Consider the following 16,123-nt stretch of genomic DNA (forward strand, 5'->3'; position numbering starts at 1 on the left):
CAGCAAACACCACAGAGACCATCAGAGGAGAAACTGGAGAGTTCAATACCATATTTGAACAATTCTTTTGGCTCATAGTTGCCTAATCATCGTGGTGAATATCAAGGAAGATGACTATATTTTCCAGTTGCTTAGCAGCCATAATGTGCTGAGCTGGATAAACCATGTCTGGCCCATAGGGTGACACTGATGTGTTTCCAAGTCATCTTGTCTATTGACATTAGGTAGCACCCTTCATTTCACTTCACATCCAAGAAGAATAAAACCCATGATTTTCTATAAAACAAGATTCTAAATCTTAAAAATAACCAATTTCAGATGATGTGAAAGTTTCATTCTGCCATTTTGGAATGGCCACCCAGAGCTTAATTTGTGCAGTGTTGAAAAATATTAGTGGACATCTTACTACTCACATCTGTTTGGGATATAAACTTTTTTTTTTGAGATGGAGTTTCGCTCTTGTCGCCCAAGCTGGAGTGCAATGGTGCAATCTCCGCTCACTGTAACCTCCGCTTCCTGGGTTCAAGTGATTCTCCAGCAGCTGGGATTACAGATGCGCCACCACCATGCCTGGCTAATTTTTGTATTTTTAGTAGAGATGAGGTTTCACCATGTTGGCCAGGATGGTCTCGATCTCTTGACCTCAGGTGATCCACCCGCCTCAGCCTCCCAAAGTGCTGGGATTACAGGCATGAGCCACCAAGCCCAGCCAGGACATAAACTTTTATTTCATATCTGTACTCTGTTAATATTCTACTTATTTTCTCAGTTACCCATATAACCATTGTAACAGCTCTCTGTCAGAACACAAAGCCTGTATATTTTAATTTTTATAGTGGTCAGGAAGTCATTACTCATAGTTCACGTTCAAGGTAATACCAAATGCAAACATATTCCAGCAACTTAAATTATAATTACAAAATAAAATTTTTATTTGCCTTTATTAACTACCTGAAGGGGAACACATGGTCTACATTGTAGCAATAGTTCAAAAAAATCTCTGCTGTTTCAGTTATCTATTGCTGCTGTAACATCTAAAACACAATGGCTTAAAATAACAGCTTGGTGTGCACCTATGGTCCCAGCCCCTCGGGAGGCTGAGGTGGAAGGATGGCTTGAGCCCGGGAGGTGGAGGTTGCAATGAGCTAAGATAGCGCTACTACACTCCAGCCTGGGTGACAGAGTGAGATCCTCTCTCAAAACAAAAGCAAAACCAAATAAACCCCACCAAAATAGTCACTCAATTCCTTTGCTCACAGTTTTGCAATTTGTGCAGAGCTTGGTGGAGACTACTAGTCTGCTCAATGTTTCTAGTGCTGAGATAGCTTCCTAAGGAGGATCTTCTCCCTAGACAGCCTCACTTGCGTGGCTGCCAAGTTGGTGCTGGGTGACATCCAGGTTACTGTTGGGGCTGTTGGTGCTCAGTGCTTGTATTAGTCCACTTGGGCTACCATAACAGACTTGGGCTGTCATAACAGATAATACCATAGACTAGGTAGCTTAAATGACAGAAATTAGTTTTCTCACAGTTCTAGAGGCTGGAGGGATCTCTTCTTGGGTTGCAAGTGGCTGTCTTCTCACTCTGTGTTCACATGATCTCTTTGTGTGAGTGGGGAGAGAGGGAGAGAGGGAGAGATGGGGAGGGAGGGAGGGGGAGAGAGAGAGAGAGCGAGCGAGCTCTCTAGCGTCCCTTTGTCTCTTGTTTCTTTTCACAGAAGCACTAATTCCATCAGGAGGGCCACCCTCATGACTTTACCTAAATCTGATCACCTCCCAAAGGCCTCATCTCCAAATATCATCACATTGGGGGTTAGAATCTCAACATATGAATTTTGGGGAGACACACTCAGTCCATAATAGGGCTCCTTCATGTGGCTATGTTGGGCTTTCACAGCATGGCAGTCTTCATACATGGTATCTGGGTTCACCAGGGTGCAAAAGACAAATCTGCCAGGTATTCTAAAGGCTTCAGCCCAGAACTACCTACTGTTCTGTAAATGCCTACACATTTTACTGGTTATAGCAGGTCATGAGGCCTGTCCAGATTCACGGGGAAGGAACTACATAAGGGTGTGAATGCTGAGAGGCATGGCTCACACGCATCACCAAAATGACATTTTGCCATTCCCCCTTTCCTATCCCATTTATTTCCCTCATATGCCACAGTGGCTTTTACACATTTCTCTCTAACTCCCCCTTCTGTCCCCCAACACACATACCATCACCACCACTAGTCATAGCCCATCAACCTCCTGTCCCCCTTTATTCCCAATTCTGTATCATTTAAATCCAAAAGGACCTTGCACTGACAGAAACAGAACGAACAAAGCCAGAATCCTTTTGTTGTGGAGGAGGAAGGGAGTAGCCATATATGCTGTCACATCATTAATAATGTTTATCCCTTGACCCTTGATTAATGAAGGCCCTTTGCCAGGGGAAGCAATGCTTAAAGTCCATATCCCTTTTCAGCGTCACAGATGCCTAGCTGCACAGAGGTGGCTGGTTCTAAAGACTTCTATAAAAACAGCTGAGATGCAAACAAGCACAGCTACTAGAACCTCTTTTATTTCTTCCAAGAAACAGACCTGTACTGAAGGGTGTATGGAAGACAGAGAGTGGGGACAGGGAGAAGGAGAAGAAGGGGGAGGAGGAGGAGCAGGAGGAAGAGGAAGGGGAAAAGCAAGAGGGAGGGAGGGAAGGAGGAAGGGAGAGAGAGAGAGAAAGGAAGAGGAAAAATAGAGACCATATACAAGATAAAAACATGGACATAAAGCATGCAAATTTCCTTCACTGTACTGAGTCTCCAGTAATTCTCTTTACCAGTCTTATTAAAAATATTTTTTAGGCTGAGCGCGGTGGATCACATCTGTAATCCCAGCACTTTGGGAGGCTGAGGTGGGCGGATCACCTGAGGTCAGGAGTTCGAGACCAGCCTGGCCAACATGGCAAAATCCCGTCTCTACTAAAAATACAAAAATTAGCCGGCACAGTGGTGGGTGCCTATAATCCCAGCTACTTGGTAGGCTGACGCAGGAAAATCGCTTGAGCCTGGTGGCGGGTGGGAGCGGCGGAGGTTTGTAGTGAGCCGAGATCGTGCCACTGCACTCCAGCCTGGGCGCAGAGTGAGACTGTTCTCAAAAAAAAAGAGGGTATCAGGGTACATTATCTCCACATGCTGATAAGTTGTTACATAAGTCCCACCAATTCACAATTTAATATCATATACTCTACCCACTCAAATTTTCAGTCTTTCAAAGCACATTAACAAAGTTATCAGGAAAATGGGACTAGCACAACCAAAGATGTTACAGACTGCACACAATTTTGACACGGATAGCAACGTGACCAAGGAGTGGTTTTCTTCAGGAAACAATTCTACTAAAAAAACCCATGAAAATAAAAGTAATTTAAAATTTTCAAGACACATTAAATGCATGACTGTGGCTCTATATTGCCATTTAGTATGCGCTGTACTGTAGGAAATAAAATACCCTCTCCCTAGGGAATGTTAAACTGACTTCGAAGACAGTGAAAGCCTCCCATTATTCACTATTTCAGTGTTTCCTGGTTGTACCAAACAACAAACAAGTGAATTATTTCACCTTTTAAAAGCTACACTTTAAAAATGGGATAAAGTGGGATTCCCTCCTTCCTAAAAATGTTTCAGCCAGGCACAGGCTCACGCCTGTAATCCCAGTACTTTGGGAGGTCAAGGTGGGCGGATTACCTGAGGTCGGGAGTTCGAGACCAGCCTGACCAAGATGGAGAAACCCCATCTCTACTAAAAATACAAAATTAGCTGGGTGTGGTGGCACATGCCTGTAATCCCAGCTACTTGGGAGGCTGAAGCAGGAGAATCGCTTGAACCCGGCAGGCGGAGGTTGCCGTAAGCAGAATTCGCGCCACTACACTCCAGCCTGGGCAACAAGAGGGAAACTCTGTCTCAAAAAAAAAAAAAAAAAAAAAAGTTTCTACAGCTACTAAAAAACTTGCATTTAAAAATAGTTGATAAAAATATTCCTTATCAAAATAGTTGATAAAAATATTCCTCTGAGGCCAAGTGCAGTTGCTCACACCTGTCATCCCAGCACTTTGGGAGGCTGAAGCGGGAGGATCGCTTGATCCCAGGAGTTCAAGACCAGGCTGGGCAACATAGGAAGACCCCGCCTCCACACACACACAGAAACCCCACAAAAATTAGCTGGGCTTGGTGGCACACACCTGTGGTCCCAGCTACCTGGGAGGCTGAGGTAAGTGAATCGCTTGAGCCCAGGGGTTCCAGGGTGCAGAGAGCTATGATTGTGCTACTGGACTCCAGCCTCGGCCGAGCGACACCCTGTCTGTTTCTTTCCTTTTCTCTCTCTCTCTAGCTCTGGATCGTACAAGAAGGGAGACAAGGACCACTGACAAGATATGGTATGTGATACTAATCAGATTTGGCTTCTTTCTGTCCTGCTTCACCAGAGGCTGGACTCTCCTTGTTTCAGTTTCTCCGCTTTCCACAGATAAATCTTTTGTTTCCCGGATAGCCACTTGGCCTGTTTGCCCTTTGCTCCCATTTTTCCTTGTTTGCTTCTTTGTCTGAAAATTTATGCTGTCCTGCTGCCTCCGCTGGGCTTCGTTTCCACCTTTGCTGGAGGAGATTTAGCTGACAACCTCACAGATCTTCCCCGCCCCTTCTGCCGAGCTGATCTTTCTCTTGGAAATCTTACCCGCAGGGAAGGGCGAGTGTCCGTGCCTGCCTGCCTGCCTGCTGCAGCCCGCGCAAAGCTGAGCGGCCAGGGCGCTGCTGTTCCTTTAAAGTATTATTAAAAATAATATTTCAGCTTTTAAGTAACTCCTTGAGTTTGAATCAAAAGCTGGAAGAACCTCCTGGGCTCTATGAGCACCTCTGAATATGTCTGACTCTACATTCTAGAGGCTTCAATGTATTTATAATTTTGGCTCATAGATTCTCCACATCTTTTCAGCTTCAATTCTTGCTTTTCCCAGAAACAATTTTCAAGCAGGAGAGAATATTGATTGGACTTGATTTTCTCAGTTTGGGCAGAGGTTTGCAGACACTTTGCAGGTTGCCAGACCCTTCGTCCAGCCACCTGTCAGCTGGGGGTCATATGGTATAGAAAGCAGTCATTTCTATGCAAGGTACTGCTTGGGCCTGCCTCCCTCAAAGGGGTAGGGGATGCGGGCTGGACAAAGGGCTCGTGATCAAGTAAAGCACTGTGATGACAGCTGCTATTTCTATATCTCCCTAGACTTGTCTTCTAAATTAAACCTTGACTCCTCCCTTCCAAGCTGGAGCCACTGCTAACTACTGGGAGAGCCTTAGCAGATAAAGTCTCATGCCTCCAGGCGTTTGTGCATCCCATTTTCTCTGCAGAGTAGAATCTCCCTTCTACTTTTGTGCTCCTGGGGACGTCCTACTCTTCTTCCCCAGTTGGCTCTAAGGTTATCACATCGGTGAAGTGTTTCATTATCACTTTTTAGAAGAAACTGAGTCTTTTAGAGAAGTTAAGTGACTTTCTGCATTCATACTCATACTCAAGAAAATCTAACTCCACAATAACCAAAAATAAAAAGTAGAAAAAAACCCACAAGTGATGAGAAAAAAAAAAATCAAAAGTTATAAAAAATAAATGAAAAAATGAAATTAAAGGAAAAAAGATTTTTTAAAAAAGTAAAAAAAAGAAAAGAAATCTAACTCCAGAGCTCTGACACAAAATGCCTTAGGTGTTATTCTCAATGAGAGAAAAGGGACGTGAATCTTTAAGTGATTAAGTGAATCTTTAAGTAAATCTGTCGTACTAGCGTTTCAGGCGGCTCAAACACCACACGCTCCCGACTACGGCGGAATGGAGAGAATGTGCGCATGCTCGGCGGGAATCTGCGCATGCTCGGCGGGAATCTGCGCATGCTCGGAGAGAATCTGCGCATGCTCGGCCGGAATCTGCGCGAGCTCGGCGGGAATCTGCGCAAGCTCGGCGGGAATCTGCGCATGCTCAGAGTTCCGGGGCACGGTTTCCCCGCCCCTTTCAGGCCTAGCAGGAAACGAAGCGGCTCTTTCCGCTATCTGCCGCTTGTCCACCGGAAGCGAGTTGCGACACGGCAGGTTCCCGCCCGGAAGAAGCGACCAAAGCGCCTGAGGACCGGCAACATGGTGCGGTCGGGGAATAAGGTATAAAGAAAGCCATGGACTTGGGCTTTACCCGGACTGGGGATCCGGAGAGGGTGGTTCGGAAGCAGGAATCGTGGGATCGCGGTCAAGACAAAGAATGGGGCAAGAGAAGATCATGGTGGTGGGCTCAGTCAGGAGGGCCGGGACCGAGGGATGCGCTATGAGAAAAGCTGGAGATTTGGGGCTCCAAGACCTGAATTTGAGCCTCGCTGACTCCACCTCTTCCATTACCCACCCATCCCATCCCTCTTCTCCCTCTCTACCTGCTCTTTGTCTCACCTGCCTCCCCACCCGCCTCCCCTCTCTCTCTCTTTATCCCATTCCACTCCCTAGCCCCACTTCCTCTATTACTTCCGAGCCTGGGTTCTTAAGATCTCTATGAGAATGAAAATTAGCTGTGATAAAGCAACTATCCCACAGGGCTTGTTGTAAAACTTAAGAGAGGGACTATCTGTGACTAAAATAACTTAAACTGTAAAGCGTCGTATTATTAGCTTTATAATAACGTAGTATCCCGCATTTATTGAAAGCCCACTCTGTGAGGGACGGATCTAAACCTTTTATTCTTATCTCATTTAATCTTCACAACCCCTTGAAGTGAAAACTATTTATCCCCATTTTGCAAGTGGGAAAACCGAGGAATAAAGAACTGTGGGCTTTTCCTGGTGAAATCCGGATTTGAATCCAAGCTGTCTGGTTTCAGGGCCCTGGAGAACCCCTGTGTTGCTAGAAATCTATGACCATTGGTGTCCCAGATCAGTAACAGAAATTACAATGAATTTTAAAGTGATTTTTTTTTTTCAACATAAAAGAGTGGTAGTTGTCTCTGAAGGGTCACTAGAGGGAGATGTGGTTCCAGGGATTAATGAATTTATTCAATACAGATAAACAAGATACGAGTTTGAGCAACTGATCCCTAGTTCCCTCAACTCCTCATTGAGAAATGTTGATTAAAACGATCATGAACTTTTAATAATGCCACTCACCTCCTTTTTTCGTCCTCTTTCAGCTGCTGAAAACTTTGTAGCTCTAGTGGAGGAGCTGTTTGTTGCAGATGAACTGGAAGTAAAATTCTAACAGCCTGTATTGCTTCGGTATAGAAATGAAGAGTTGCTATGCTACCCGGTTTCTCTTTCTCAGTTTTCTTACTGCTGCCAGATAGGAACTCAGAAATATAGACCATTCTGCTTCCAGACAATAAGTTCCATATTTGAAACCCTTTGATGGCACTTACTGGATACCTAATTCATGACAAAAGTGCTTTAGTCCTCTAGAGTTTTCTGGTTTAAAAGTAGCTTTTGTGGGTGTGTATCAAATAAGTGCAGCAGCATATTTTGTGACTCTTAAGTTTTTTTAGGTTATCATGCCCCAGGCATTGAAACTGGGATGTGCATTTTACTGTTCTCAAAGGAATTTTGTGGTTTATTAGCACGTTTTTTTTTTCAAATAATCTAATTTTACTTCAGAAATCTCTTAGTGCATTGTGTTGTTTGTAAACTAGTGAAAAATAATCTTTTCTTTTCATGTGTTGCCTGAGATATAACCACATTTAGAAATCATCTATAACTTCCCTGATAGGAATTCATTCAGGTTTTTAAAACATTTCTAGGGTCAAGAGATCACTTAAAAAAGAGTAGTTTCTTTATTGATCACTTCTAAATGTTATTTTTTATCCCTCGTATGGAGTCGCATCAGTCTCCCTGTAACTTCCATCTGTTGATCCCGTTGTCTTTCTTGGCAGACCAATCCTTTTATACAACAGTTGTCAAATATCTGGGGGGAGGCCAGACACGGTGGCCTATACCTGTAATCCTAGCACTTTGGGAGGCGGAGGTGGGAGGATTGCTTAAGCCAAGGAGTTTGAGACCAGCCTGGGCAACACAGTGAGACCCCAACTCTACAAAAAAAATTTAAGAATTAGCTGGGCATGGTGGGGTGCAACTGTGGTCCCAGCTATTTGGAAGGCTGAGGTAGCGGGATCACTTGAGCCCGGGAGATGGAGGCAGTAGTGAGCCATGATCATGCCACTGTACTCCAGCCTGGGTGACAGTGAGACCATGTCTCAAAAAAAAGGAAAAAAAAATGGTGGGGAGGAAAACTGTTATGTTCCCTTTAATCTTCTCATCTGACTTAAATATCTAGTTATTTCCAACTGTTCTTTACATCATGTATTCTTCAGATTCTTCCCTAAGCTGCTCATTTCATGTTCATTTGTAATTAATTTTCCTGGTAAGATGTTAGCCCAGAACTGCTCACAGTTTGTTTGATCGGTACAAAGCACTGCGAGACTATCAGTCAGAGTCAAGGAATGTGAACTCCAGAAAGGACCTTAAACCTCATCTAGTCCAACAGTTTCCTACCTTTTAGTATTATTAACAGTGAGATTAAGTGACATTCCCAAGGACTCAGAACTAATGGGTAGGAGAGATGGGACTAGATCCCAGGTCTCCCGATTGCTATTATCTTTTTTCACCAGAAGACCCTTCTTTTCTCTTCTTGAATTCACTACACTGTTGATACAGACCAACATATTTAGGCGATGAAGTAAGATAGGTGTGGGGAATGTGGTGCAAAAGACATTTCACGTTGTTGATTGATTTTATAATTCACACTGAAATTGTGAGTTGCCATCAATCCAGGTCTCTTCCAGCTTGTGTTCAGGTAAAATTTGGAAGCCAGGTATAAATAACTTTACATGTATTCCTTTTAGGTTATGTTTCTCTTATTTTCTTAGTCTCCTACATACGTGATTGCTATGTAATGGCTTGTGCCTTAGCTTATGTGATTCCGTCTGTCACTTACTTGTTCACATGATTGACTCCTACTCATTAAGACTCACCCAAGGAAATCCACATTCAGGAAGCCTTTTCTGCCCCTTCACCGCTCTGGTATCCCCTCCACCAGTCTTGAGTGGATGCTCCTCCTGTGTCTCTCAGTGCCCAGTGCATACTTCTATCATGGAACATTGTTCTGGTATTATTTGTTATCTGTCTGTGTCCTCTACTAGAATAGATTTGGTGTCTTTATTTTAGATCATCAGTTTACAAACTGACTCAAATTGTCAGGGTATACCTCTTAGCATATATATAGATTCTAGCAGTCACTTCTTGTGACAAAAATGCTTCATAACAAATTATGCCCCGAATCAGTGACTTACAGTGAAAGCATCTGTTCTCATGTTTGTAGGTCTGCAGGTCAGCTGCAGTTTGTCTGATGTATATTGGGCATAAATGGGTTTAACTCTGGCCTGCAGGTTGGCATCATATGTACTCATCATGGGTTTATTCTGGGGCTTAGGCCAAAGAAGTGGCAGCTATCTGGAGCATGTTCCTCTCCTGGTAGAAACTTCTGTAGCTTTTAGAAAGTATCAGGACTATTTAAGGGTTTTCCATAGTGAAAATTTATATGTCTTACACACATTCTTATGTAGAACACATCCCTTTTTCACACCTTTCCTAAATACTGATACAGGTTCATGAATACAATAAGCAAGGGACATTCTTACAGTCTTTTCTTACGACTTATTTTCTCAAACACTCTTTGGAACTTTGTTTCCAGGCAGCTGTTGTGCTGTGTATGGACGTGGGCTTTACCATGAGTAACTCCATTCCTGGTATAGAATCCCCATTTGAACAAGCAAAGAAGGTGATAACCATGTTTGTACAGCGACAGGTAAGTTTCAGATTGACACTGAGCTTGTAACCCATGTTTGAACTGCTTGTTGCCTCTACCTACTAATGCAAGATACCAGCCTCCTTATAGTGTCCAGCCCCTCTGTTTGGGGGGATTCTGGGGAGTTTCCTTACATGTACTCACATACAACTTCACCTACCACTAGAGTCTGATATTTTTTCTTCCCTCGTTTTGGCCCCTTCACTAGATATTACAGTTTTTATCGGAAACAAGAGGCAGTAAAAAGTAATGTTTAAAAGCACAATCTCTAGAGACAGATGGCTTGGGTTTGTATCCTTGCTCTGCCATGTCATTTACTAACCTTCTGATGTTGAACAAGTCCCTCAACTTGTTTGTGACTAGTTCAGTTATCTTTTGCTGTGTAATAAACTACCCCAAAATGTAGTGTCTCAAGTAACATTTTAAAAATTCATCATTCATGGTTCTGTGGGATGACTGGGTTGCTCAGTTGGGTGATTCTCTATTGAGGCCTCTTACGCAGTTGCAATCAGATGGCAGCTGGGGCTGGAGTCACCCAAAGGCTCAACTGGACCAGATGTCCAAAATGGCTCACTCACATGGCTGGAAGACGATGCTTTCTAGTGGCTGTGAGCTCAGTTGGGGCTGTCCGTTAGAATCTCTACATGTGGTTTCTGTATAGTTTCAATTTTCACATGAAGCAGCTGGTTCTAAGGAGTATCCCAAGAATGGGTTTTCTATGAGACCCTGCCTATGTGGCTTCTTAAGACCTATTTTTAGAAGCCCCAGAAAGTCATTTCTGTTTTCTGTTAGTCAAGCAAGACACTAAGGTTAGGTCACATTTAAGGGAGGAGAATTAGACTCCCTCTCTTGATAAAAAGAGTAGCCTGCAAATACAAGGAGAGAAAGAACGGATGGTGGCTATCTTGGAGGTTAGCTACTACAGTGCCTCAGTGTCCCATGTGTAAAATGAGAATAATGATACCTGTCACATAGGGTAGTTTTGAAGAATAAAAGAATTAATGTAGATAAAGTGCTTAGAATAGTGCTTGGAATATTGTAAACACTATGTAAGCATCAGCTGTTTTTATTTCTGCCCCTTCTACTTGGTATGACTGCCACTTTTGCTAAGTCCATGAGTTCCTGCTTCTTTCATTGTCTACTGCTGCTCCTCCTGGACACTTCTGTTTCTTCTGTGTGTTTACACTTCCGTTGGGCACTAGTACTTCCCACCTGTCATTCTAGATTTTTAAAAATCTTGATGACCTGGAGTCCTTGAGGTGTTGTGTCAAGGAAGGTGCTCTAACCCTGTTCTTGGTTATAGTTGTGTTGGTGGAATTCAAGTAGTGTGGCTGTCCCCTGGTATGCTGTTAGAGAAGGTAAGTAGACATGAGCAGGGCAGGAGAGAGGGCCCCCGAGAATGTTGGGCATTTGTGAAGCCATGGTTAGGCAATTAGAAATCCGTCCCTCTGAAGTGATGAGCAGGGCAAGGGAGGGGCCCCAAAGCTGTCAGGTTATCATCGAGGGGAAGACAGGCGGGCATAAAACTATCACTGTAAGGTAATAAGTGGCCATGATTGGTGTCAGGAATTACAGGAATCTTAACAGACAGAAAACACCTGGAGTTAGCAAGCTATAATCCTTAAGGTTTCGAGCATGCGCAGTAAAAGAGCAAGATGGTGAACTTTAACTGGTATAAAAGCTGCCTCTGGGGGCGCTCGACCAATAATGCCGAGTTGCCGCTACTGAGCATGCGCATGACTAGTAACCACACTACGCATGCGGCCCCCTCTTAAGCAGTAGCAGGGCTAGTGCGCATGCGTTGATTAATTCGGGCTGCTCAAGGGAGGAACAAAGGAGACTGGAAGCCCGGGAAAAGATGGCGCCGGTGGTTGGGGGGCGGGGCGGTCTAAAAACTAAACAAAGAAGGGCGCAGGGCACTTGATTTTTCACGTGGCCCTCTTGGTTCTCTTCCAAGTGTACTCTGCTTTCTCCAGTAAACTCTCACTTTGCTTAAAATAAATTTTTCCTCCTGCTTTAAACCTTGCTTATGTCTGTCGTTTCAATTGTTTACTTCGAGAAGACCAAGAACCGAGATTACTGCGGAGTCGCCACTCCGGAGTTTCTCTGGATAACTGCCGACTTACACCCCAGTAACAAGAGTATAGGTGTTTTTTTGTTTGTTTGTTTTTGTTGTAGAGAGAAAGAGTCAGAATCAGGAAGTCAGAATCAGGAACTTAGTGCCAGTCCCATACTACATTCAGAATTTCCTCCCCTCCCATGACTGAGATTTTGTCTAGGGCAAGATTACCTTGCCTTAAGATGGATGCTTGTCTAGGCGGCAGATACCTGCCCAGCCAGTATGCTACGCATGCTTGAATCCAGCAGCAGGCACCCAGACACCGTTAGTCCATGTACAACTGGGAATTGTTGTGTTGTTTACAGACTAAAGGATTAAACAGACCCTACAAAAATGAAGAATGACAGAATTCCATTATCTCTCCATACAGCACTCTTCCCCATCAATGTAAAAAGGCTTATGTTAATAATTAGACAGGACTGTCTTTTGTGTCAGATACTATTTTTTGTTTTTATATTTCATTATGAAATATTTCATAAAATAGGCAAATATGGAGAATATACAGGTAACCAATTTTCCCATTGTCTTATGCTGTAAATCCTAATGTTTCATATTTGTTTGATTTTTTTTTTAATAAAGTGTTACAGATAAACCTGGAGGCCCTTCCTTACCCTTTTTTTCTCTTCTCCTTTTCTCAGGATTTTGGTAGTTATTACCATGTATATTTTATACTTGGACATAAGTATATATTCATAAATACTTAGTATTGTATAAAGCTGTCAAAAGTGTAAATGGTTTTATATGCTACATGTAATTCTGCAGCATATCTTTTATCAACTTATTTTAGATCTATTCATGTTGATACGTGTTGCACAAATTTATTCATTTTTACTGGAGTATGATATTTCGTTGTATAAATATTCTGCAATGTATTTTTGCATTCTCCTGTTTGATAGTTTGCTTCCAGTTTTTGCCCTATCATAAACAGTGCTGAAGTGTAAACTTCCTATCTGTACATAATTTTTCTAGGGTATACTGTATATGCCTGCCCCTGAAATTGCTGGGATATAGGCTATCCTGCACTTTTTTTTTTAACCTCTGGAAAATTTAAACCTTAGACATTCCATAAAGACATACTAAAATCTTTTCACATTACCCATTTTTGGTTCTCTCATTGAGAATTAGAGTTTGATTTCGCTGGAAATCATCAAGAACACTTACTACCCTCCTATTTCCACACCTCAACTTCTGCTGAAATGAAGGGTGAGACTTATGGTCAATGAAAAACATCTGTTCAGAACCTAAGAATTGTCATTGTCTGTAAGTCTCATGTTTCATCCCGCCCAATACTATATGGCCCCAGGGACCTGCCATAGGGAGGTCTGGTTGTCCTGCTCCCTGAAGGTTAGGTATTTTATTGCTTCCAGATTGTTCTAATATGGTTTTCAGCCATCTGACATTTTTTTCTAGGTGTTTGCTGAGAACAAGGATGAGATTGCTTTAGTCCTGTTTGGTACAGATGGCACTGACAATCCCCTTTCTGGTGGGGATCAGTATCAGAACATCACAGTGCACAGACATCTGATGCTACCAGATTTTGATTTGCTGGAGGACATTGAAAGCAAAATCCAACCAGGTTCTCAACAGGCTGACTGTATCCTTTTTCTGCCAGAGAAGACTTTAAGAAATTTCCTTTATTCTGGGAATCGTACAGCAGTTTGATGAGACACCCCCAGAGTTTCAGCTATGAGTATATGGGTATATTTTGCTCTGAGGAGGGGGAGGTAATGTGTTAATAGGGTTTAATGTGAAATTAATCAGTTTAAAACAGTGCCTGGGCTCCCAGCCCTCCACTCACTTCCCTGTTCTCTGCATGGGTGATACTGAGAGGTTGGGAGGCATAGGAAGGGGGAAGATCCTAGGGAGTATATGTGAGCATTGACTATATGCAGAGGGTTTTAGTGGTGCTCGTTAGAAATGTTTGGAGGCGGATAGAAAATATTTTTAGAAGAGCATCCTCCCAATGTTCTCTCCTTTTTTTCTGGATGGAAGATGTTTTTGTGCCAGAAATCAGATTGATACCCAAAGTGAGATTTCCAGTTTACTCCACAGGTCCCCTAATTTTAAGGGATCATCACTCTTGTTCTTTTTCTAATCAGTTAGTAGTGCTATTCCTGATCACTGGGAAGTGCTGTTGTGTTAGGAGTGACTTGCAAATGCTACATTATGGTTCGCTTCATATTTAAGAATGGACTGTGGCCACCAAGAATGGGTTCTAGATACTATTAAATGACATAATTTTTGGTTAAATGAATGCAATGTGTTAGATTACCTTTTGTTTATATTTCTTGGTTGTTTTTGGCAGAATATATAGTTTGATATATAGAATGTATGAATATATGTTAGTGAACTTTGGAAGAAGGGCACTCAGGCAAGTACTTTAAGTCATCACATAGTTCAGTGTCCACAATTTCCAGCACGGTGGACTTCATTGGAAAGAGTTGCGTGTTCACATGAAGAGACTGTTTGGTGATATCCCTATCCTTAACTAGCTGAGTCCTGGATGCACTAATCGTGAGCATGGATGTGATTCAACATGAAACAATGTAAGTGTTCCAAGGAAGAGAGCTGGAAGAGAATCTTTTTGCAAAAATTGTATGGGTTAATGTATTGAATGTATTTTGTGATTCATTGTTAATCAAGCTGCATGTTTGTGTGACAAGAGAAACATTTTATAGAATTGAATGGTTCAGTCCAACCTCTCTGTTTTTTAAAAGTTTTAAAAGGGGAAGGGCTGTACTCGGTGATTATTTCTCTGGAAGAAATAAAACATTTGGCTTATTTCAGTTTACTTCCTATTAGACTTAAGCTGATTACCAGGAATTTTAAAAAACACTAAGTGGTATAAGCCATATGTCATTGATATTAAGTGCATGGTAACTCTGGCCAACTTCCCTTTTTTGTTGTGTGTGTGTATGTTTTTTGTTGTTTTTTTTTTTTTGAGTTGGGGTCTTGTTCTGTCACCCAGACTAGAGTGCAGTGGTGCCAATATAGCTCACAGCAACCTCAGCTTGATCTCCTGGGCTCAAGAGATCCTTGCATCTCAGCCTCCTGAGTAGCTGGGACTACAGGTGCACACCCAAGTCCAGCTAATTTTAAAATTTTTATTTTTGCAGAGACGGTCTCACTATTTTGCCCAGGTTTTCTCAGACTCTTGGCTTCAAGCAGTCCTCCTATCTTGGCCTCCCAAAGTGTTAGGATTACAGGCATGAACCACCATGCCTGGCCTGCTTCCTAATTCAGTATTTATTTAATTATTGTGCCTTGGAAGTGTATCTCTGGAGACATATATGTGCATGTACACATACCTCTTGCCTGTCAGGAAAATCATTTGCACTAAAATCCCAGACCTAAATCTGTGTAATCATTTCTCAATCTCTGTACATCCTCTGCCAAATCTTGCCACACAAAATCTGTGCATGGAGTCAGAGCAGGATATTTAGAAAGTGAACCTGAGCAAGGCTGAAGTTAGAGTATGCTGGGAGAATTCTTTGTTTACATTCTGCCTATGTGGAGGCTGGGAAGGGATATTTTTTCATCACATTTGAGTTCGGAATCCAGAAACATAACATTTCCATAATACCCAGACATTTTGGCCAAGATGTTCAAAGTATAAAGTGTATCAGGGTTGATTATGAATTTAATAAGAACTTAATTGGACTACTAGAATGTAATCACATTTATTAACTCTAGATCCATTTCTAAGCTTCTCTCCTCAGTGACCAAGTGTATTTGAATTTGTAGAAAAATAATTCAGGAGAATGATTTCTTAATATGATAACTCTCTCTTTTAGAGGAAAGAAGTTTGAGAAGAGGCATATTGAAATATTCACTGACCTCAGCAGCCGATTCAGCAAAAGTCAGCTGGATATTATAATTCATAGCTTGAAGAAATGTGACATCTCCCTGCAATTCTTGTAAGATCCTAAGAATAATGCATGTAGACAAATCCTATGATTTCCTAATATAGTGAATGGGCCCTCTGTATAGAGTACTTGGTTTATGGGAATTTTCGCTTTCTGCTCCAAGGCTGAATCTGTCAGATGACTGACTACTCAGCAAACATTTGCTGGTTACTCTCTGTGTTCTAGGAACTGTTCTGAGTGGTCGTGACAAAAAGATGAAAGTCAGTGATCCAGAAGAATTGAGCTTAGTGG

The 16,123-nt window shown here is 42.4% G+C and overlaps 1 protein-coding gene across 1 annotated transcript in view, besides 7 other annotated features; it reads left to right on the forward strand.

Annotated features, from left to right (window-relative positions):
- Positions 5,790–6,411: an enhancer, noted in NCBI's record as "NANOG-H3K27ac-H3K4me1 hESC enhancer chr2:216973795-216974416 (GRCh37/hg19 assembly coordinates)". NCBI's record gives its function as "activates a minimal SCP1, AML or CMV promoter by ChIP-STARR-seq in primed H9 embryonic stem cells {active_cell/tissue: H9 hESC(primed)}" and the evidence as "EXISTENCE:reporter gene assay evidence [ECO:0000049][PMID:30033119]".
- Positions 6,066–16,123, forward strand: part of XRCC5 (X-ray repair cross complementing 5) — a 96,946-nt gene continuing 86,888 nt past the window's right edge. Inside the window, exons 1-5 of the mRNA NM_021141.4 lie at positions 6,066–6,175; positions 9,734–9,847; positions 13,377–13,560; positions 14,464–14,512; positions 15,761–15,883. Coding sequence (NP_066964.1) covers positions 6,155–6,175; positions 9,734–9,847; positions 13,377–13,560; positions 14,464–14,512; positions 15,761–15,883 — 491 coding nt within the window. The 5' untranslated portion in view covers positions 6,066–6,154. The remainder of the gene's footprint in view (positions 6,176–9,733; positions 9,848–13,376; positions 13,561–14,463; positions 14,513–15,760; positions 15,884–16,123) is intronic.
- Positions 10,937–11,006: an enhancer, noted in NCBI's record as "active region_17089". NCBI's record gives its function as "activates an Ori minimal core promoter by ATAC-STARR-seq in GM12878 lymphoblastoid cells {active_cell/tissue: GM12878}" and the evidence as "EXISTENCE:reporter gene assay evidence [ECO:0000049][PMID:35858748]".
- Positions 11,424–11,718: an enhancer, noted in NCBI's record as "tiled region #7837; HepG2 Activating DNase unmatched - State 5:Enh, and K562 Activating DNase unmatched - State 5:Enh". NCBI's record gives its function as "activates a minimal TATA promoter and a strong SV40 promoter by Sharpr-MPRA in HepG2 and K562 cells {active_cell/tissue: HepG2 | K562}" and the evidence as "EXISTENCE:reporter gene assay evidence [ECO:0000049][PMID:27701403]".
- Positions 11,424–12,554: a biological region, named in NCBI's record as "Sharpr-MPRA regulatory regions 7837 and 8351".
- Positions 11,444–11,738: an enhancer, noted in NCBI's record as "tiled region #8351; HepG2 Activating DNase unmatched - State 5:Enh, and K562 Activating DNase unmatched - State 5:Enh". NCBI's record gives its function as "activates a minimal TATA promoter and a strong SV40 promoter by Sharpr-MPRA in HepG2 and K562 cells {active_cell/tissue: HepG2 | K562}" and the evidence as "EXISTENCE:reporter gene assay evidence [ECO:0000049][PMID:27701403]".
- Positions 11,622–12,554: an enhancer, noted in NCBI's record as "NANOG-H3K27ac-H3K4me1 hESC enhancer chr2:216979627-216980559 (GRCh37/hg19 assembly coordinates)". NCBI's record gives its function as "activates a minimal SCP1, AML or CMV promoter by ChIP-STARR-seq in naive and primed H9 embryonic stem cells {active_cell/tissue: H9 hESC(naive and primed)}" and the evidence as "EXISTENCE:reporter gene assay evidence [ECO:0000049][PMID:30033119]".
- Positions 11,897–11,946: an enhancer, noted in NCBI's record as "active region_17090". NCBI's record gives its function as "activates an Ori minimal core promoter by ATAC-STARR-seq in GM12878 lymphoblastoid cells {active_cell/tissue: GM12878}" and the evidence as "EXISTENCE:reporter gene assay evidence [ECO:0000049][PMID:35858748]".

This window comes from Homo sapiens, chromosome 2 (genome assembly GCF_000001405.40).
Source record: "Homo sapiens chromosome 2, GRCh38.p14 Primary Assembly".
In the NCBI taxonomy this organism is placed as follows: Eukaryota; Metazoa; Chordata; class Mammalia; order Primates; family Hominidae; genus Homo; species Homo sapiens.